At 44.4% G+C, this 21271-nt stretch overlaps 1 protein-coding gene and 1 pseudogene across 9 annotated transcripts in view; both read left to right on the top strand.

The window, feature by feature from the left end:
* Positions 1-21271, top strand: part of DCUN1D2 (defective in cullin neddylation 1 domain containing 2) — a 35745-nt gene that overhangs the window by 11632 nt on the left and 2842 nt on the right. For 8 of the 9 annotated variants that reach the window (XM_017020647.2, XM_017020649.2, NM_001014283.2 and 5 more), the window contains 3 exons: positions 5678-5808; positions 18796-18878; positions 20524-20620. In XM_017020647.2, coding sequence (XP_016876136.1) covers positions 5678-5808; positions 18796-18878; positions 20524-20620 — 311 coding nt within the window. Of the gene's footprint in view, positions 1-5677; positions 5809-17040; positions 17193-18795; positions 18880-20523; positions 20621-21271 lie in introns of those variants that run through there. The other variant, XR_007063687.1, reaches the window with a different exon arrangement.
* On the top strand, positions 861-1017 carry RNU1-16P (RNA, U1 small nuclear 16, pseudogene; annotated as a pseudogene).

Here is a 21271-nt window from a genome sequence, read left to right as displayed (position 1 = left end):
AGTGTCATAGCACAATACATTGCCTGTGTGTGGTGATGCTGGCACAGACAAACCTACTGCACTGCCAGTCGTATAAAAAGCATAGCGCATCCAGTTATGTGCAGTATATAATACTTGATAATATAAAGGCTTATGTTACTAGCTTATTTACTCAACTTTTTATTATTTTCGAGTGTACTCCTACTTGTTTGTTTGTTTGTTTGTTTTTTGAGATGGAGTCTTACTCTGTCACCCAGGATGGAGTGCAGTGGCACGATCTTGGCTCACAGCAAACTCCGTCTCCTGAGTTCAAGCGATTCTCATGCCTCATGCCCGGCTAATTTTTGTATTTTTAGTAGAGACGGGATTTCACCATATTGGCCAGGCTGGTTTTGAACTCCTGACTTCAGGGGACACACCACCTTGCCTCATCAGCCTCCCAAAGTGCTGGGATTACAGGCGGGAGCCACCGTGCCTGGCCCAGATGGATTTTTAAATATCACCTGTTCATATTGTTTAAAATAGATACAACTAAAACAGCTTTGAGGCATACAGGAACTCTACAGATAAGGAGGACCATTTCATAATGATAAAGGGCTTATCTCACCAAGAAGGCAGTCACACTTACGTTTTTATGTATTTGTTGAAGAGTCCCAATGTATTTAAAGCAAAAATAAGCAACTACAAAGAGAAAGATACAAATCCATGATCAAAGTGAGGAATTTTCACACACATCGTAGTAACTGATGGAATGAGTCAATGAAAAATTAGTGAGGAAATAGAAGATTTGGACAGCACAACAAATGGCCTAGGAGAACATTTAGAATGTTGCCTTCGATGCTTAAGAATACATATTCTTTTCAAAAGAAAACACAGAACAGCCTGGCAGGAGAGATACCATCATCATGAAGGTGATTTTCCCAGAGCTGGGCTTATCCATTGCATTCTGGATGTGCTGACGCCTGTGGTTTTCCCAAATGTGGGAAACTGGACTGCATAATTTGTGGTAGTGGGGGACTATGTTCGTGTTCTCTCCTGGTGTTTAAAATTAAAAAAAAAAAAACTTTATTAAAGGCACAGAACATTAATAAAAATTGACAATAAACTGGGCTATTAAGTAAATTGCAACAATTTCCAGAGGTTTGAAATGATACAGAGTATGTTTTCTGACCACAGTACAGTTAAACTAGGAATATAACAAAAAGATAACTAGGGATATGTGTGGATATTGCATACCTCTAAGTAACCCTTGGGATGAGAAAGAAATTACAATGGAAATTAGAAAATATCTTGAATAATGAAAATACAATATATGTAAGCTTGTAGAATTCAGCTTATTAAATGCATATTTTAGAAAGAAGGAAAGGCTGAAAATCAGTGAGCAAAGCCTTCCATCTCAAGAAATAGAAAAAGAATATAGAAGGAAGGAATTAATATTTTTAAAGAAGCACTAATTTACAAGAATAATTAAATAGAAAAGAAGTTGTCATTAGGAAGGATCAATAAAGCTAGAAGCTTGTTATTTGAAAAGACTTGTAAATGTGGTAAATCACAAGTAACGTACGTAGATGAAAAGGGGGACGAGATAATAGGTGCCAGAAGCATTAAAAAAAAAAAAGTCATGTATGAAGAGCTTTATGCCAGTAAATTTGACAACGTATGTGAAAAATGTAATTTACTAAAACTGACACATGAAGAAATAGAACATCTTAATAGTTCTGTAACTCTTAAGAATTTGAGCCTGTAGTTTAAAATCTTCTCAAAGAGACAACTCCTGTTTGGGATGACTTAATTGGCACATCCTACCAAACTCCTAATGAAAAGGAAAATCCCCAATTTTAAACATCCTCTTCCAGAGAAGTAAAGGAAGAAAGATTTCACAATTTGTTTTTAAGGCCAGCAAAAGCTGCATGACAAAACCAAGGAAGAACATTTGAGAATGGAAAATTATAGGCCACTCTCAGCTGTAAGACTCAGAAGATGCATAAGATGATTATAAGATGCAAAAATCCTACACACAGTATCAGGAAACTGACCAGTCATTAGCAAAAAACCCAAGACGATAAGCCCAGGATGATACATCATGACAGAGTTGGTTATATCCAGGAATGCAAGATCCGTTTAATGTTACAGAGTCAATCGGTGTAATTAATTTACCATGGTTAACAACAGGAAAAAAAGGATCATCCCAGTGCATAAGATGGGTTTGATCAAATTCAATGTTTCTTCATTTAAAAAAAAAAAAAAAAACTCATAGAAAACTAAGAATAAGAGGGGCAGTTCTTAATCTGGCCAAAAGGAAAAAATTCCTATGGAAAACATTATACTTACTGGAATTGTAAGCCACCTTCTCTTTGAGACAGAACAAAACCCAAATGACTGTTTCTATTCAGTATTAAACAGGAGATCATAGCTAGTCCACCCTATGGGTAAAATATTCAAATCAATAGTGACGTTAGCCAAACTACAGGATCCAAGGCCTGCAAGTAAAAACCTGTTCTATTTCAGGACACCAAGTGCAACAACCAGCAAAACGGTAACATGTAAAATCTACGTCATCTTTCGGTATCTTCAAAAATACAAAATACCTAGAATAAATTGGATTGAAGATGTGTGATACTCCCATAGAGAAAATAGTAATTCATCGAGAGACAGGAAAGAAGACCTGAATAAATGGAGAAATATACTTCATTTATAGGTTGGAATACAGTATTTTATCCTTAGCTTTTTATATTGAATGTGATCTCAATTTAAAAATCCCAATAGATAGTGGGTTTGTTTATGTGTAATTTGACAAGCTGATTTGAAATTTCTATGAAAACGCGCAGTCAAAAAGCAGTTCTTGAAGAAAAAGAACAAGATGGGAAGATTTGCTGTACCAGATAATTGGAACTTTTAAAGCTACAGTAATTAAGACTACATGGCATCAAGCGCCAGATCAGATAAATAGACCAGAGACCAGTGGAGCAGAATGGAGCGCTCAGAAAGAAGTCCGTGTATGGGGGGACTTCTGGTTTATGACAGAGCTAGACTTCAGTGGAGAAAGACGGTTTTTCAATAAATGATACTGGGAGAATTAGCTAGTATTTTGGGGAAAAATAAATCCTGACCTCTACCGCATACCATATGTAAAAATCAGTTTCAGATAGATTGTAGATCTCAGTTTGAAAGGCAAAAGCAAAAAGTCTGTAGAAAATAATGTAGGAAAATGTCTTTTATGACTATGAAATAGGATAATTTTTAAAACATCAACAAAAACAATAAATCACCATAAAGAAAAATGCCGATAGAGTGTATTATAGTAAAAATAAGAACTTCTGGTTAAGAAACATCAAGGTAGTAGAAAGGCAATCCATGTTGTGTGTGAAAGTTCTTTAAAAATTCCTGGCAAAGGCTTGTATCTTTAATATATAAAGAATTTCTACAAAACAATAAGAAAAAGACATTGAAAAACAACCAAAAGATTTGACAAGCACTTCACAAAAGAGGATGCACAAGGGCCAGTTAAGGTATAAGATGCTTAATCTCATTCACTGGGGAAATGCAGGTGAAAACCACAGTGAAATAGAACCCCATAACAAACCACCCTCTTGGGTGCTAAAATAAGACACGATAGCAAATGTGAGTGCAAATGCGTGGAGGGGGACTCCAGTGTACTGTTTTGACATCAGTTACTAAATGGAAGGTGCACAGACGCCATGACCCAGCCATCCACTCTGGAATGTGCCTGACGTGGTACGTTCACAGGTATGTTGTGATCTGTGTGCAGAAGTGTTGACACCATTACTCCAAACCAGGAAACTAGAAACAGCCGGAATGTTCACCAACAGTAGCGTTTATGAATCATAAAATATGTATATAACAAGAATTCTGTATGGCCAAGAAAATGAGCAGCTGGAGCCATGCATACCCACAGGAACGAACCTCTCGGACATCACAAAGGCAGAAACAGCCAGACGTGAGGTGGTGCACGCTGAGTTCCTGATTACATCCAGCTAGAGGCACGGTGAAGGACGGCTCCAGTAGGCGGTGGGGCACAGTGGGCCTGGCCCAGAAGTCTGATTGTCCATGCCTCACCGGAGGGAAGAGGAGGCTGAAATGGCAAAGAGCCCTCAGCTGCCACCCACTCCCTTTTTTAAGAAGGTCACACTCTGTTGTGCCAACTGGGGTACAGTGCACTGCTGGGACTTCAGGCACATGCCACCACACCTGGCTAGTTTTTATTTTTTGTGGAGACTGGGTCTCTCTATGTTGCCCAGACTGGTCTCAAACTCCTGGCCTCAAGCGATCCTCCCTCCTCCACCTCTCAAAGCACTGGGATTACAGGAATGAGCCACCATACCTGGCCCAGCCGCCACCCTTGATGTGGATGGTGCTTACGCTCACCCTCATCTGCAGTACAGCCATGCGTCACTCAGAGACAGGGACACGTTCTGAGAAGTGCATCGTTAGGAAATTTCACTGTGCAGATATCACAGAGTGCACTTACACAAACCGAGATGCTACAGCCCACTACACACCTCGTCTGTGGTGCAGCCTGTTGCTCCTAGGCCGTGAACCTGTTCAGCAGGTGACTGTCCTCAGTTCTGTAGGCAGCTGTAACACAATGGTAAGTCTGTGTCTAAACACATCTGAAGGTGGAAATGGTCATGCGTTGTGCTAGACGTTGCAGTGGCTCTGACGCCTCGAGGTGGCAGGAATCTAGGTGCCATTATGATTTTATGGGACCACTGTGACATACGCCTTCTGCTGTTGACCGTGACTGCGCGCAGGACTGAGTCATACATTTGTGCTTTTCCGTGTATGTCTTCGAGGACTTTTCTAGCTGCTCTAAAGCTTTCTTCAATGTTCTTTCCTTACGTCTACTCTACTTGAGTAAGTGTTGCTTTTATTCTGTGCTTTGCTGTGCAGTCGAAATTACAAAGATAGACTTTGTTTTACTGTTGTCGATTTCTGCCTTAGAGGCTGTTGACTGTTTTTAAAGGTTATTGACTTTTTGATGGAAAAATTCAATTCTAAAACAACATAGAGCTGTGTTTTACAATACCTGGATATTTTAAATCTAACTTGCTGTAATGAAGAGATCCCTAAATAAGGTAGCTTAAGTTTATATGAGTTTGTTTTTCGCTTGTATGATGGGACAGAGGTAACAGTGGCCCAGGCTGGCAGGGCGACTGCCATTCTGCAAGTCACTGAGAAATGCGGTCTTTCCATCTTTCCATTACCTCGTCTCTGCCATCTTGTCACCTCATGCCCTGTCACCGCAGGGCAGGGTCCTCTCTCCGTGGTCAAAGCTACCAAGTTAGACCACGCCCTTGTTCCACTTCTCAAGAAGAGGGCAAAAGATGTTGGTTTTGGGTTTTTCTTTTAATAATTTTACTGAGATCGAATTCACATACCATATTTTCTTTCATTTAAAGCCTACAACTCAGTGGTTTTAGTATATTCCCAGAGCTGGGCGGCTGCCACCAGTATCTGTCTCAGAACGTTTTGAATTCCTTTTAGCAAGGGAGATGTTGCCCCCCCATCTTCTCTTACATCATCACTTAGAGCCTTAGGCCGCGCCTGGGAAAGGAAGTTGGGAAATACGGTCTCCAGCTGGAGCTGCGTGCCTGGTCACAGTTCCTGCACAGGGCACAAGGGGAGTCGACTAGGGAGGCGCATCTGCTGCAAGACAAACCACTCTCTGTCATCGCAGGTGTGACAGCATGGAGAAGCTAAAGGCTCTTCTGCCAAGACTGGAGCAGGAGCTGAAGGACACAGCCAAGTTTAAAGATTTTTATCAGTTTACCTTCACCTTCGCTAAGAACCCAGGGCAGAAAGGTTTAGGTGAGTATGAAATCCAAATACGTAAAATGCCAGATCATAATGAGGTTTTCAGTGGACGTGAGCAACATGATTTTTGTGCAGCCAACTGTAATGTTTTTGGGTTTTGGTTTGGTTTTTTGGAGATACGGTCTTGCTCTGTCACCTAGGCTGGAGTGCAGTGGTGCAATCACAGCTCACTGCAGCCTCAATCTCCTGGGCTCAAGCAGTCCTCCCACCTCAGCCTCCCAAGCAGCTGGGACTACAGGCGTCCACCACCGCATCTGGCTATTTTCATTTTTGTTTTAATTTTTAGTAAAGACAAGGTCTTGCCTTGTTGCCTATGCTGGTCTCGAACTCCTGAGCTCAGGCATTCTTCCCACTTCAGAGTGTTGGGATGACAGGCCTGAGCCACTGCGGCCGGCCCAGCTGTAACGTTACCACCCTCTTGGTTTCTTTTCTTCTCCACACTTTGCTCTGTATGTAGGTAGATGAGTTTATAATACCGCGTACCTGAAAATCTCAGTTGATAGCGTCTCTCAACTTCTGGGTTTACATATTTAAATTTTAAAATGTAAACTAATTTGTAAATGTCCTGTATCAGTTCGTAATTGTTCTCTCTGTGCCACATAGACCCAGCCCGCATACCAACAATTCAGCCCACTTTTGCGTTTTATTTTAAAATACTGTACTCCATTTGTATGGACCATTAATGTGGCCCATTTGCATGGACAATAATAAATATTTTTTTTACTTGGGGAGTCTGCATTCGCTTTAACTGTCACTCCTAACCCTGCAGCAGGGATTCAGGGACTGCAGTGAAGGTGGAGGTGAAGCTGGGTTGGGCTCTGGGAGGTGTGCAGTGATCACCTGAGAGGGCAGTTGCACAGAGGAACAGGCACAGAGGCAGAGGCACGGGGCAGAAGGACAAGGAATGCAGGCACAGAAGGGCAGAGACACGGGACAGAGGGATAGAGAGACGGGGGACAGAGGGACAGAGGCACAGGAGACAGAGGGATAGAGAGACGGGGGACAGAGGGACAGAGGCACAGGAGACAGAGGGATAGAGAGACGGGGGACAGAGGCCCAGGAGACAGGCACGGGGGGACACGGGCAGAGACACGGGATAGAGAGATGGGGGACAGAGGGACAGAGGCACGGGGGGACAGAAGGACAGAGGTACGGGAGCAGAGGCGCAGGGGGACACGGGAGAGAGACGGGGCTGGTGAGAGAGAACAGGTGCTGAGACGCGTCTCGGCCCCACACTGGTTACTGAATTACAGTACCTGCTGTGCAAGGCCCTGGGGCCTGTTGGGCCCTCGCTTTGCCTCTTGGGTGACAGTAGCGGTGTCTGCTGCGTCTTGGCTCAGGAGCCTGCCGCATGCGGCACCTAGGGACACCAGCAGTGTCGAGACCTCCAGCCTTGCTCAGGGCTGCCAACTGATGAGAGCCTGTCCTGCCCTTTCTGTTTGTGAGCTGGGATGATCCCAGAAGGAAGTCTTTCTGTCTCCTGGTGTTGGGTGCCAGAGGTGCAGGCTGCTCAGAAAGGCCGGATGACCTCGGGGGCGAGTGCGTTCCCTGCTTCCTTCGACCGAGGGTCAGTTTATTGTTCATGTCCCCGTGAACTCATGGAGTGCTGTTGGTGTACTCTGGTGTTGGTGACCGCTCCCTTCCTGTCTGCACGGCAGGCTGCCCTGGGCTCGTCCAGTCACCTTCTACCCCAGACCTGTATTCGCTTTTTCTCCAAGAAGCCCTGATTTCTTTTAGCGGAAACTGGTTTCAGGCCGTGGTGGGGTCGCGGCTGGTGCTCATTCAGAGTCGTCGTTTCCAGGCTTTTTATTTTTTTATTTTTTTTATTTTTGTTCATTTGGATGCTTCTAAACCACAGTCAGGACTACAGATTATTTTTCCTACTTGAGCTTGTCTGTATTGCAGCTGTGTTTCCCTTCTCCTGCTCTGGTTCTCACGGGCACAGGTGAGGATAGCGTTAGAATATCCATGGTGATGTGTTAGCCCAATCCCACACGGCACACACCACGGGCTCAGAGTGACGAAACGAATGCTGTCTCCACCAGTAGAATTACTGTGAGTAGCGGAAAAGAAAAGGGCGGGGTTGGGGGGGTAATACACTCTCCCCCGACTTAAAACAATAGTTGGGCCTTACCTTTGTTTTCCAGGCACACAGCCAGGCCTCCCCTGTCGTTGTGGGTGGTCTTTGCTCTGTGTTCCCCAGCAGCCCCTGCTCATCACCAGGGCTTCTGTTGACGTCTCTCTGCTCACAGGTTTTGAAATTCATTCTCCAGTGGATCCCCAGGAAGTGCTTTTGGGGACAGTATTCCCTGAGTCCTTGCGTGCTGGGTATGAAAAATCCTTTTCGATCCTTTGAATGTCTTAAGTGTGTCGCTCCACTTTCTTCTGGCGTAGATCGTTATTGTCAAACAGAATGATGATAAGCCAATCTTCTTGGTCTTATAAGTTGCTTACTGTTTTGCCTAAATACCCAAACAAAGGCCATTTTTTCTTTTGCTTTGAAGCCCAGTAATTTTACTAAAATGTGTCTGGGTGTTGTGGGTCGTCCATGGTCAGTGTTCTCATATATGCTGCTGAGTGTTTTCAGTAAGTACTTTCTAATCTTTTTTTAATTTCAGGGAGAATGTTCTTGAATTATAGGTTTAAGCATTTGTTCTGTTCCTTGTATTTGGTTTTGGTCTCTATGGAAACTCCTATTACCCATATAATTGGAGTTAGGTCCTCTGTGGAGTTGGGTCCCCTGTGGAGTTGGGTCCCCTGTGGAGTTGGGTCTTCTATGGAGTTGGGTCCCCTGTGGAGTTGGGTCTTCTGTGGAGTTGTGTCTTCTGTGGAGTTGGGTCCCCTGTGGAGTTGGGTCCCTTGTGAAGTTGGGTCTTCTGTGGAGTTGGGTCCCCTGTGGAGTTGGGTCTTCTGTGGAGTTGGGTCCCCTGTGGAGTTGTGTCTTCTGTGGAGTTGGGTCCCCTGTGGAGTTGGGTCTTCTGTGGAGTTGGGTCCCCTGTGGAGTTGCGTCCCCTGTGGAGTTGGGTCTTGCGTGGAGCTGGGTCCCCTGTGGAGTTGGGTCCTCTGTGGAGTTGGGTCCCCTGTGGAGTTGGGTCCTCTGTGGAGTTGGGTCCCCTGTGGAGTTGGGTCCTCTGTAGAGTTGGGTCCCCTGTGGAGTTGGGTCCCCTGTGGAGTTGTGTCTTCTGTGGAGCTGGGTCCCCTGTGGAGTTGGGTCCCCTGTGGAGTTGGGTCTTCTTTGGAGCTGGGTTCCCTGTGGATTTGGGTCCCCTGTGGAGTTGGGTCTTCTGTGGAGTTGGGTCCCCTGTGGAGTTGTGTCTTCTGTGGAGTTGGGTCCCTTGTGGAGTTGTGTCTTCTGTGGAGTTGGGTCCCCTGTGGAGTTGGGTCCCTTGTGGAGTTGGGTATTCTGTGGAGTTGGGTCCCCTGTGGAGTTGCGTCCCCTGTGGAGTTGGGTCTTGCGTGGAGCTGGGTCCCCTGTGGAGTTGGGTCCCTTGTGGAGTTGGGTCCCTTGTGGAGTTGGGTCTTCTGGAGTTGGGTTCCCTGTGGAGTTGAGTCCCCTGTGGAGTTGGGTCTTCTGTGGAGTTGGGTCCTCTGTAGAGTCTTCTGTGGAGTTAAGTCTTCGGCAGTGTGCGTTGCTTTCTCTCAGTCCTTTTTATCTGTACTTCATTTCTTTTTTATTTTAAAAATGATCTTCCTTTTTCACCATTTCCTCTTCTGAAGTTGTTACCCATCATGTGTCACATAATGGCAGCGATAGGTTCTGAGAAATGCATTGTTAGGCAGTCTCATCCTTGTGCGACATCACAGGGCGCATGTTTGCAAACCTGGGTGGCATAGCCTATTGCACGCCTAGCAGTATGGCACAGCCCATGGCTCCGGGGATACAAACCTGGACAGCGTGTGACTGTACTGAAGACAGTAGGCAACCGTAACACGGTGGTGAGGATTTGTGTATCCAAACACACTGAAGCATAGAAAAGGGGCAGTGAAAATGCACTTTTGCAATCCTGTGGGACTGCTGTCACTTACGCGGACTATCATTGGCTGAGATGTTATGCCATGTGTGGCTGCCTTTGAGTTTATCTCCCTCGTGTGCCTTCTAGTAAAGTCATTTCCAGAATGATTTTCCTTTGTTTCTAATTCTTGAGTGTGATTTCCTCATTACTAAGTTTTCCTAATTCTCATTTGTGGTGTTTCATGTTTTGTTTCATTTCTTAATGTCCTTTAGCCTATTTTGAAGTCAATGATCACACTTAAAAAAAAAAAGTTTTTGATTTATTTCGAGACAGGGTCTTGCTCTCTTGCCCAGGCTGGAGTGGAGTGGCGCGATCATAGCTCACTGCAGCCTCGAATTCTTGGGCTTAAGTGATCCTCCCACCTCGGCTTCCCAAAGTGCTGGGATTACAGACATGAGCCACCACACCTGGCTTAACATTTTGTTTTAGAGTTGAGGTCTCCCTCCGTTGCCCAGGTTTAAGTGCAGAGGTGTGGCCATGACCGCACCCTCAGGCTCCTGGGTTTCAGTGATCCTCCCACCTCAGCCTCCCAGCTAACTGGGACTGTAGGCACGCAGACTGTGCCTGGCTAATTTTTAAACTTTTTTTGGAGGGACGGAGTTTTACTGTGTTGCCCGGGCTGGTCTCAAACTGCTGGTCTCACACAGTCCTCTCACTTCAGGCTCCCAAAGTGCTGGGATTACAGGCGTGAGCCATGGTTTCAGCTGAAGGTTGCACTTTTGATCTGTTCTGTTGGTGTGTTTCCCAGCATGCATTCATTTTCTAGGGGTGACTACTGTTTGTAGTATCTTTTTTCTCAGGATAGCATTGTATGGGATTTGATCTCAGGGCTGTTCTGTTGCTCATTTTTATGTGAAATTAGTTTTCCTAGTCTTTCAGAAGGAGGATGGTTCGGGGCAGCTTTTCGACTTCATGGTGCTCCCTCTTGGCTGTGTGTGTGTGTGTGTGTGTGTGTGTGTGCAGGCGTGTAGTAGACAGAAATGTCGGCTTTGCTGTCTGAGATTGTCTGGCACTGCTCCTCCCCCCTCCTCAGCTTTTCTCTCTTTTCCATCTCCATTGTCCCTTTCCCGCCCAGCCTGTTCTGCTCCCAGGCACTTCCCTGTTGGTGGCCTCTGCCCTCAGCCACAGCCTACTTCAGGCTCGTCCTTACCTGGTCCCGGCGTGTAGGCACCTCTGAGGCCCTCCTGTTCTCACATCTGTCAGAGGCCCTGTGCCCCCCACGTCCCCGGCATGACGGCAACACACGGGTCCTGTTGCTGGCAGTGGCTCATCCCCTAGCTTACAACTTGGGTTTGTGGTGATACTTTCTCACCTAAATTTATGGTAAATGTTGCCTCTGGGTGTTTGGCTTTGCTTTCTAATTGCTGCATCTGCTTTTATGCGCAGATTCAGGGAAGGTTACACACTGTGCTGCCTCCGCCCCGCCTGTCCAGGGCCCTCCCCCGCCCCCTTTAGTGCTGCGTCCTCATAGGCCGCTTGTCTGAAGGAGAGGTTGATGGAGCGTGGCACGTCTCGCGTTTAAACCAGTCAGGAGTCCTTGGGGGTTTATTTCCCCAGGACTGTTCTTTTGTCTTTTAACCATTTTAACTGTTTTTAAGTGTACGGTTCAATAGCACTAAGTAGATTCACAGTGTTGTGTAAACATCACCAGTATTCATTCCCAGAACTTTCTCATCTTCCCAAACTGAAACGCTGTCCCCATCAAACACTGGCTCCCCACTCCCCTCTCCCCCAGCCACTGGCAGCCCCCATTCTACTTCTGGTCTCTGGAGTTGACTCCTCTTGGGACCTCACGTAAGTGGAATCACACAGTATGTATCTTTTTGTGACCAGCTCATTCCGCTTGGTATAATGTTTTGTTGTAGTATATGTCAGAATTTCCTTCCTTTTTCAAGGTTGAATAATATTCCCTGTGTGCATAGACCACGTTTTGTTTATCCCAGTGGACACTTCGGTTGCTTTTACCATTTGGCTATTGTGAATAACACTGCTATGAACATGGGTGTACACGTATCTGTTTTAGACCCTGCTTTTAATTCTTTTTTTTTTTTTTTTTTTTTTAAGATGGATCCTCGCTCTGTCGCCCAGGCTGGAGTGCAGTGGTGTGATCTTGGCTCACTGCAACCTCTGCCTCCCAGGTTCAAGCAATTCTCCTGCCTCAGCCTCCCAAGTAGCTGGGATTACAGGCATACACCACCACGCCCGGCTAATTTTTGTATTATTAGTAGAGATGGGGTTTCTCCATGTTGGTCAGGCTGGTCTCGAACTCCTGACCTCAGGTGATCCACCCACCTCGGCCTCCCAAAGTGCTGGGATTACAGGCATGAGCCACCGCGCCCGGCCCGCTTTTAATTCTTTTGGGTATATATCCAGAAATGGAATTACTGGAATGTATGGTAATTCTGTTTAATTTCTTGAGGAACGAGGAACCACCATATTTTTTTTTACATTCCTGTCAGCAACGAAGCTGAGCATCCAACCTCTGCACATCCTGACAACAATTGCTGTTTTCTGAATAGTGGCCATCCTGATGGATGTACCCAAGACTGCTCTTTATAAGCTGACATTTTACTTTGGGGACTAAAAATCTCCTTTTTTTTTTTTTGCAGTGGTGTCACAAATTTTAATTCAAAATAGGCACTCTGAAAACAATAGGTAAAAAAATAAAAATAAAGTTCATCAAGCTGTCTTTGAATTTACAACAGACTACACCGGTGATCACAGACCAGTTTCAAAATTGCCTCCAATATGCACATTATAGCAATTACATGCAAGTATTATATTTTTTAAAATGCACATAGTAACATCATGTTTCTCAGAGGCTGTCACGTCCTCTAGATATTTCTACCTAGAGATACAGTAAACGGGCTCCTCTGCTGTGTACCACCAGCAATATTACTTGTGGTCTAAACTGGCTGGTCTTCATCACTGGTTCTGGTGCTTTAAGTTTTTTTATATTGTGTGGGGGAAAAAACGAGGTTTAACATCCAAAGGACAGGCCAGGCGTGGTGGCTCACGCCTGTAATCCCAGCACTTTGGGAGGCCGAGGCGGGCGGATCACGAGGTCAGGAGATCGAGACCACCCTGGCCAACATGGTGAAACCCCATCTCTACTAAAAAAATATAAAAAATTAGCCGGGCGTGGTGGCGGGCGCCTGTAGTCCCAGCTACTCAGGAGGCTGAGGCAGGAGAATGGCGTGAACCCAGGAGGTGGAGCTTGCAGTGAGCCGAGATCGTGCCACTGCACTCCAGCCTGGGCGACAGAGCAGGACTCTCTCAAAAAAAAAAAAAAAAAAAAAAAAATCCAAAGGACAGTGACAGCAATGGGGATTCTTTAACAATATGCCATCCCGTCCACCTGGATTCAGCTTCCAGCCTTAACCAGCTAGAGAAAAGCCTGTTTCACCACTAAACATGGCCTCCAGGAAATGTGGCCAGAGATTTACTGTACCAGCCATGGAGACTGAGCTCTTGGTCTGCAGACTTCACCCTGCCCCCTGAAAACCTACGCTGAAATTTAAGTTAGTTTCCACACTCGGGGCAGTAAATGTTTATTCTAAAGGCACTGAAGATTTATTATTTTGCCTCTGAGTGGAGAAATGACTTAGCATATCAAAAGAAGGGGAAAGTCTACACTGAAAAGTATTTTTGCATCTACAGAATGACTCTGTTTGTAAAATAACTCTTGATTTATGAGCTACATACCAGATGCCAGATTCTGTCTACTTTTAACAAATGAAAACATTTGGTTTTCTACAATAAAACTCTTTATTTTTTATCTTTGCTATTCCACTCTATTTCTTTCTAAGAGGCTAAGGCAAAATAGTCATTAAAGTTAAAGCTCATTTTAGTTTAGACCCTGATTACTCAGTAACTATCATCAGTATTCTCAAGAAACCATTACCACTCTTTTCTAGAAACTAACAAGCAGGCCGAGTGTGGTGGCTCACACCGGTAATCCCAGCACTTCTGGGTGGATCACTTGAGGTCAGGAGTTCGAAAACAGCTTGGGCAACATGGCAAATCCCCATCTCTACTAAAAATACAAAAAATTAGCTGAGTCTGGTGGCACACACCTGTAGTCCCAGCTACTCAGGAGGCTGAGGCACAAGAATCGCTTGAACCCAGGAGGCGGAGGTTGCAGTCAGCTGATATCACATCACTGCCCTCCAACCTGGGTGACAGAGCAAGACTCCATCTCAAAAATTATCTATCTATCTATCTATATATATCTGTCTATATATATACACACACATACATACATACAAGAATTATCTGGGTGTGGTGGTGTGCACCTGTAGTCCCTGCTACTCAGGAGGCTGAGGCAAGAGGATTACTTGAGCCTGGGAGGTGGAGGCTGCAGTGAGCTGAGATTGCACCACTGCACTCCAGCCTGGGCGACAGAGCCAGACCGTATTAAAAAAAAAAAAAAAAAGCAAATAGACAAGAGAATAATGATGTGGAGGAAGACTTGAGATGAGCTCCTTCGGTGTTCTTGGGCTCTGTCACTTGGTAAGGACAGGGCCACCTGTGCTCCTGACAGGTGCTGGTTTCTGCTGTGGCTGTTCTTCATCTCATGCAGGGTTTGTTTGTTTTTTTTTTTTTACTTCTCTCTGTTTCCTCACCCCAGTTTTCTCTGGCAGTAGTCACCCAAACAGGAAATGCTGCTTCTCACACTTTTCTAAAATTCGGCCATTTCAGGTCTGAGTGTAACGATCATGATTTTTCAAGGAAAGTCTGGGTCATGCTTTACTTTTGAGCAGTTTAATTCTCAGAGGTCTATCCAGCTTCCTTTCCAAAGTGAGGATTAGTCTGATCCAAATTTTAAAATAATGGCATTTACTTTTTATTGTTAAATGTTTATCAGGAAGGACACTGAAATTTCAGTGAATGATAAAACTTTTTTTCTGACTATTTTGAACTGTTACTTTAATATCTTCAGCATAATCTTAGGATAACTCAGCTTCTATTAAAGATAATCATTTATATTTATTGATACTCTGCAATGCAGGGGATACTTCCTTTAAATGTTGACATGGAAAAATGTTTAAAAGATTAGCATTTTATCTGACTGTCATATGTAGGTATTATCTTTAAGAATTTTTATCTTATAATGCCTTGTTAACTTGACACATACAGAAAAGTATTATGGAGCTTTTCTAGGCCCTTGGCAAAGCCAGCAAGATCAGCATCACTGCAGAACTTGCTGGAAACACAGGCCCTGGGGCTTCAGCCAGGCCGGCTGCCTGGGTTAGTAATGACTGCGCAGCAAACACCTCAAAACGCAGTGGCTTCAAATGACAGTCATTTTGGTAGCTCATGATCCATTGGGTCAGGAACTTGGGCAGATTCTGCTGAGTGGCCTTTCTCTTCCATCCGTGCTGCTCTCCGCCATGGCCTCCCACCTGCCTCCAGCTGCCCCACGTGGGCCTCCTTGCAGCGTGGTGGCTTGGGCAGAAGCACTGGGCCTGCAGAGGCTGCCGTGTCCCCCGCAGCAACGTCCAACTGCCCCGTCCTGGAAACGCGCAGCGTCCCTTCCACTCGGTGCCACCACTTCATTCCATGGTAATTTCCGGGAGGTTATAAATTAGAGTCTAAATTAATTGCCCAGTTCAGAGTTGCAAAATTTATTTTCTTTGTGCATGAATGTTTCAAGGAAGGTCAGTATATGGGTAGAGAGTGTTTGGAAACATTTTTAAGATTCAGGACCTACCATGTTCAGCCTGCGTTTTATAAATTTCCTTAAGCATCAAAGCTTTCAGTGGCAGAACAGGCCATTGAAAGCTGCAACAGATTTATAGTTTATCCTTGAATTCCTCACTGACAACAAGGACTTGTTTACTCCTGTAGATACTTAAATGAAATGTTTGTCAGAATCATTCACTATAGGATGGGAAGCATTACTGGTTTTGTTTCTTTGCTTCATGACAATAGCTGAGAGAATATGAAATTTTATTAAAGAAAACAATAGCCTCCTCGGGAAAAGATTAGATTTTGTAAACACTTCAAATAGATTATACACTATTTTTAGAAAAGTTTTTTGAGGGCTTTTTAAAAACAGAAATAAAGCAAGAAGAGTAATTTTATGACTATAGCCCAGAAGTAGAGCCGTCAGTTTACCATTTCCAAAGATGATGTGGTCGGTCTTGTGAGGAATTAAGTATAAATTGAACAGGTCAAGACAAGTGTCCAACTGTTCCAGAAAAAGCATGGACTGCCGTGGGAACATGGAGCCAAAAGACACAGATTACCCTTTATTTCCTTTGTGTCTGTGTCTGTGTGTGTGTTTGTGTCTGTTTATATATGTCTGTGTGTCTCTGTGTGTGTCTGTGTGTGTCTGTGTCTCTTTGTGGGTATCTGTGTGTGTCTATGTGTATCTGTGTGTGTGAAGATTGTACTGTATTGTTTTTATGTAAGATGATGCTTTACTCTTAACTAACGGTTAACCTAATAGAGAGGATAAAGTTACTTGGCTCTGTTTTAATGTAAGAAACAACATAGTTTCATACTGGCTAGAGTCTTGAATCAGTTGGCTTTGGGAATCTTTTGTGTTTTTGTTTTTGTTTTTTTTTTTTAAAGAGGTGAGGGTCTTGCTCTGTTGCCCAGGCTGGTCTCAAACTCTTGACTTCAAGTGATCCTCCTGCCGCGGCCTCCTAAAGTGCTATGATTACAGGTGTGAGCCACTGTGCCCGGCCAGCTTTGAGAATCTTGATGTTTGAGGAAGTGAAGTTTCATGAGAGCTAATTTTTATGTCTGCCCTAAGGTACTTTTTTGATAGAGGACACATCTTCATTGTCTAATCCTAAGTGGAGCATCACAAGCATGAATTTTAAGTAGTAATGCCTTCTTCTAACATGTTTTCACTTAGGAGATGGGACTTTTTAGAGGTTCTGGGAAAGAAAATAGCTGCTATAAAGATGTAGCCACCAGAGTAGCTGTTGGTCTTGTTTCCACTCTCGAGTCCTGCCATTCTGAGTTGTTGTTTTTGTTGTTGTTGTTACTGTTTTGCAAATGGCTAAGTCCATTAGGACAATATTAAACATTTTTATGTAAATAATAATAAATATTGAAAAAGCATATATTTACTTTTGATAATGTGATTGACAAACATACAAATCAGGTCCTTTGTAAGAAAAGTTTTTAGCACCAAAACTAACCCAAAGTAACTAGATTAAATGTGTGCCATAAAACTTTATTTTTTTTTCCTCCCCAGGTTCACCTCCATTTCTCAATGTGAAAGCTTTACATCATTAAGATGAGTTGAATATAGATTTCAATTAATGTTCTTCCTAAGTGATAAGGATGTAGACTTATAAGCAGGACAAGACTAATCATCTTCTTAGCATTTTACTGCGGGTCCCATCGGTAAGGTCTAGAGAGCTGTTCCATATCTCAGTTACTTGGCACTTTCTGACTCTCTCTTTCTTTCTGATTCAGACTCCAGGGTATTCAAAACTGATAAAGTTGGTCATGAAGCCTTTGCACACGGGGAATTTAGAGGCGTTTTATTTAAAGTGGGATTTGCTACTCATATGCCTCTTTCTTATCCCATTTTAATAATGATCGACCCTGGAAATCTTGCTACAGCTCCAACTTTAATAACTTCTGTTTAAGTGGGATTAAACCAGATTTAGAAAAAAACCTTTTGAGAAGTGTTTAGTTATGTACTTTGCATTTAAACTAACATATTACCTAACTTTTATTAATCTGCTTTTCACATTAATCTTACATAAATATAACTCTTCTTTTATTGCCTAAAAGTGGTGAACACTATTCAACATGATTAAAGGAGGTCACTTTATGTATTTATTTTTTATTTTATTTATTTATTTATTTAATTTTTTTTTTTTTTGAGACGGAGTTTCGCTCTTGTTGCCCAGGCTGGAGTGCAGTGGCGCAATCTCGGCTCACCACAACCTCCGCCTCCCAGGTTCAAGTGATTCTCCTGCCTCAGCCTCCCCAGTAGCTGGGACTACAGGCATGAGCCACCACGCCCAGCTAATTTTGTATTTTTAGTAGAGACGGGGTTTCTCCATGTTGGTCAGGCTGGTCTCAAACTCCTGACCTCAGGTGATCCACCCGCCTCAGCCTCCCAAAGTGCTGAGATTACAGGCGTGAGCCACCACGCCCGGCCGGTCACTTTAAAAAAATAGAATTCTGAACCCCTTTATATACTTGCTGTGTCAAGCATATAAAAAGAAATCGTTATCAAGCTTCTGGTGAGCAGAGAATAAATCAGTGTTTCACAAACTATGGATTGGAGACAGCCCTGAAACTCGGCATTCATATTCTATTAGACATCTTCAGTAGCAGAGATTTATATAGAAGTCGTGAAATAATCACCACCTTCCCGTGTGGGAAAAGAGGGCGTTGGCTTTGATTGATACGCAGTGTCCTGTGTAGATGCATCAGTGAGAACGCTTTCCCTGCTAGCTGCCGATTTGACTTGACACTTTAGGGACAAATTGGAGCCCTCATAAGGCCGCTGTAATTACTTGTGAAACAGATTCTGTCTTAGTTCATATAGCAACAAGGCAGGTCTATTTGGAGAACAGTGTGTCCCTTCCTTCCTAAACTGGTCCTTTGATTTGCAGTTCGACACTCAGGCCAGTGGCCTATTTTTAAAAACAAATGATACGCATTAATAGTATCCAGATCAGGTCAGGTTTAAAGAACACCCAATATGTGTGAAAAGGCAAGTCTCCAAAACTGATTAATTAGGGGGGAATTGTGTGCATATCCAAATAACTTAATATACAAATCCTTTTAAAAAGAGTTTCCCCAGATTTATAAAATTAGACTACGTACAGTTCTCAGGAGCACTTCCGTAGAGATTAAGCCTCATGACTCTTGGGTGAGATTGCCACATTTTATTAAGTAAATATTGACATGCTAAGAAGTGGTCGTTTTTTGTGCAGTAGAAAAAGAGAGTGAGATTTACTAACTGCTCTTTCTTTCTTTTTACCAGACTTAGAAATGGCTGTTGCGTATTGGAAATTAGTGTTATCTGGAAGGTTTAAATTTTTAGATCTCTGGAACACATTCTTAATGGTAAGTGTCCTCCTGCATCTCGCTGTGTGCCCACTGTGGAGGGAAGTCGGTAGGTATGAGGCTGCATGTAATCATCCACCTCAGGTCTCACACGTGGAGGTTTTCAGCAGATGAACATCCCACACAAAGATCCGCAGGTCCAGACAGGTTGCCACTTGGCTCTGTCACCTTGCCGGAGACTGCAGGGCTGAGCTGGGGCCACTCCGGGGCCTCCTCAGAACGTGGCTTCTTGGCAGTCACGGGAAGCTCCTCTCAGGCTGGGGTTCCTGGAGACTCTGCAACCCCAGCAGCCCCCGTGTTGTCTCCTCTGAGGACCTAGACGGTAATTCTGTCTTTCCACTGAGAACTCCGAATCCTCGACATGGTGCCAGCGCCACACTTCTGTGGACTGGTTTGGGCTCCGGAACTGCGGATTGTATGTGGCGGTGCCCAGCCTCTGTGTGTGTCTGTGGTCTGAAGCCATTTCTAAGTGTGTCTCACCATGCTCAGGAGGAAAAGAGGCCTTTGTGGACCCTCTGGAGAGACACTTTGCTGGTGCGGGGCAAGGCTGCGTCATGCCAGCCCGTCTTGCTGGCAGCAGGTGCAGCTGTGGGTTTTTGGAAGTGAGTGGCCACAAGCCCGGTAATGGCAGAGATGCCCAGACCTCTTGCTGTTCTGTCCATGAAAGTGAAAGAAGTGGTCTTCCACCGCCCAACCCACGGCCGGGCCAGGACCCGCACTGCCTCCCTTCACCTGACACCAGGTGACACAGACTTTGCCACTTAGAGTCCTGTGGCCTTGGGCACGTCACTTCCGCTTCCTTGCCTGGGAATGGTACCCAGAGAGTGTGGCAGGTGGAGGGCGGAGCTGTCTGTGGAAGGTGACGTCACTCAGTCCTGTGGGTTTGCCATGGAGAGACGTCTTTGCAGCTATGTGTTTCATTACATCATGTGCTGTATTACTTCTCTCGAAATATCCAGAGGTCAGTAATGCTGTGCCCACAGCCCCCTTACGCCTTACCTGGGGTCAAACCTAAGTCACAGATGTTTCCCAGAGAACCTCACGCTCTTGTGCGTGGAGAAGGGGATGAAGGCGCTCACAGTGTCATTGTAACGGCAGAATACTGGAAAAGCCAGTGACCATCCACAGGAGAACGGACTAAAAAATCAGAATATTGGTGCGATGGAGCACGGCTTTGGAGCCACGCAAAGGAACGCACATTCACACACGTCAGCCCGCATACGTTTCAGACATTATGCTGAGTGGGAAAAAAACAAGTTGCAGAAAACTATGTGTAATTTGATAGCAGTTAATGTTTTAAAATGTAAGACAAGCTTATGAGCTGTTCGTGAATATATATATACATGCAGCTAATGGGCAGGTAACGAGATTAAAATGCTGCCCTTCTATGTGACAAAACAGGAGTTTATAATTGTAATATTTAAAATGTTTTGTTCTTAAATAAATCTGCTTTCTATATTTGGACATTAGCGTTGTTGTAGCACTTAACATTTATACAGAACGCTATTACTTTTAACAATTTTATTGTACTTGTTCCTAATCAAATTAATGAACATTAATTGAAGATCGCTAGGCCACTAGAATATATGAGAGTTAAGCTCTGTATTTTAAACCTGGTGGGTTTTTTTTTTCTCTCATATATTAGGAACATCACAAAAGATCAATTCCAAGGGACACCTGGAACCTCCTGCTGGACTTTGGAAACATGATTGCGGATGATATGTCTAACTACGATGAAGAAGGTACCGGAAGTTGTGCTTCAGATGATTGACCGAAATGCTTACACCTGAGAACGTTAACTTCTCCTGCCTCTAGAGTGGTGACCCCGTCACTGAGATGGGCGTGGTCATAATACTACCCCCTTCCTTATTATTTTCTGTAAATCATACAAAAGAAAAATAGGGTTTTATATTTAGTGTAAATCAAGAAGACAGTCCTCTAAGCCAAAGCATTTCAGAATTGGATGTGAAGAGTTAGAGACCCCCATGGTGGAGCCATGGAGTTAGGTATTGGGAAACCACCACTCCCAGATTCTCAGTCCCGCATGATGCCTTAGGTCAGTTCCACACTGCACTCTTCAGGCTGACTCGGAGATTCCAGCTCCTGTCTTCTTGCATAAATATATCTCCACATACTTGTCTCCCCCCGTGTTTAGGACTCTGCGTTGGAGGGCCTTTGGAGCCTGCTGTGTGCTGGGCACGCTGCCACCTTAGAGAGGGATGGTCTCTGGGTGGAAGGCCTCCCCTCTAGGCTCCCACCCACTTTGCTTCCTCCCTGCCCCCTCGGCGGGCAGTGATCTGTTCTGGGCCCTGGCGCCGTGCCTTTAACGGGTGGTTTACGTGTCTGTCTGCCTGTTTTAGCTTCTGCTTCTCTTTGTGTCCTCCACACTTTGC

The sequence above is a fragment of the Homo sapiens genome, chromosome 13 (assembly GCF_000001405.40).
Source record: "Homo sapiens chromosome 13, GRCh38.p14 Primary Assembly".
In the NCBI taxonomy this organism is placed as follows: Eukaryota; Metazoa; Chordata; class Mammalia; order Primates; family Hominidae; genus Homo; species Homo sapiens.
This window is presented reverse-complemented; position numbering and strand designations above follow the sequence as displayed.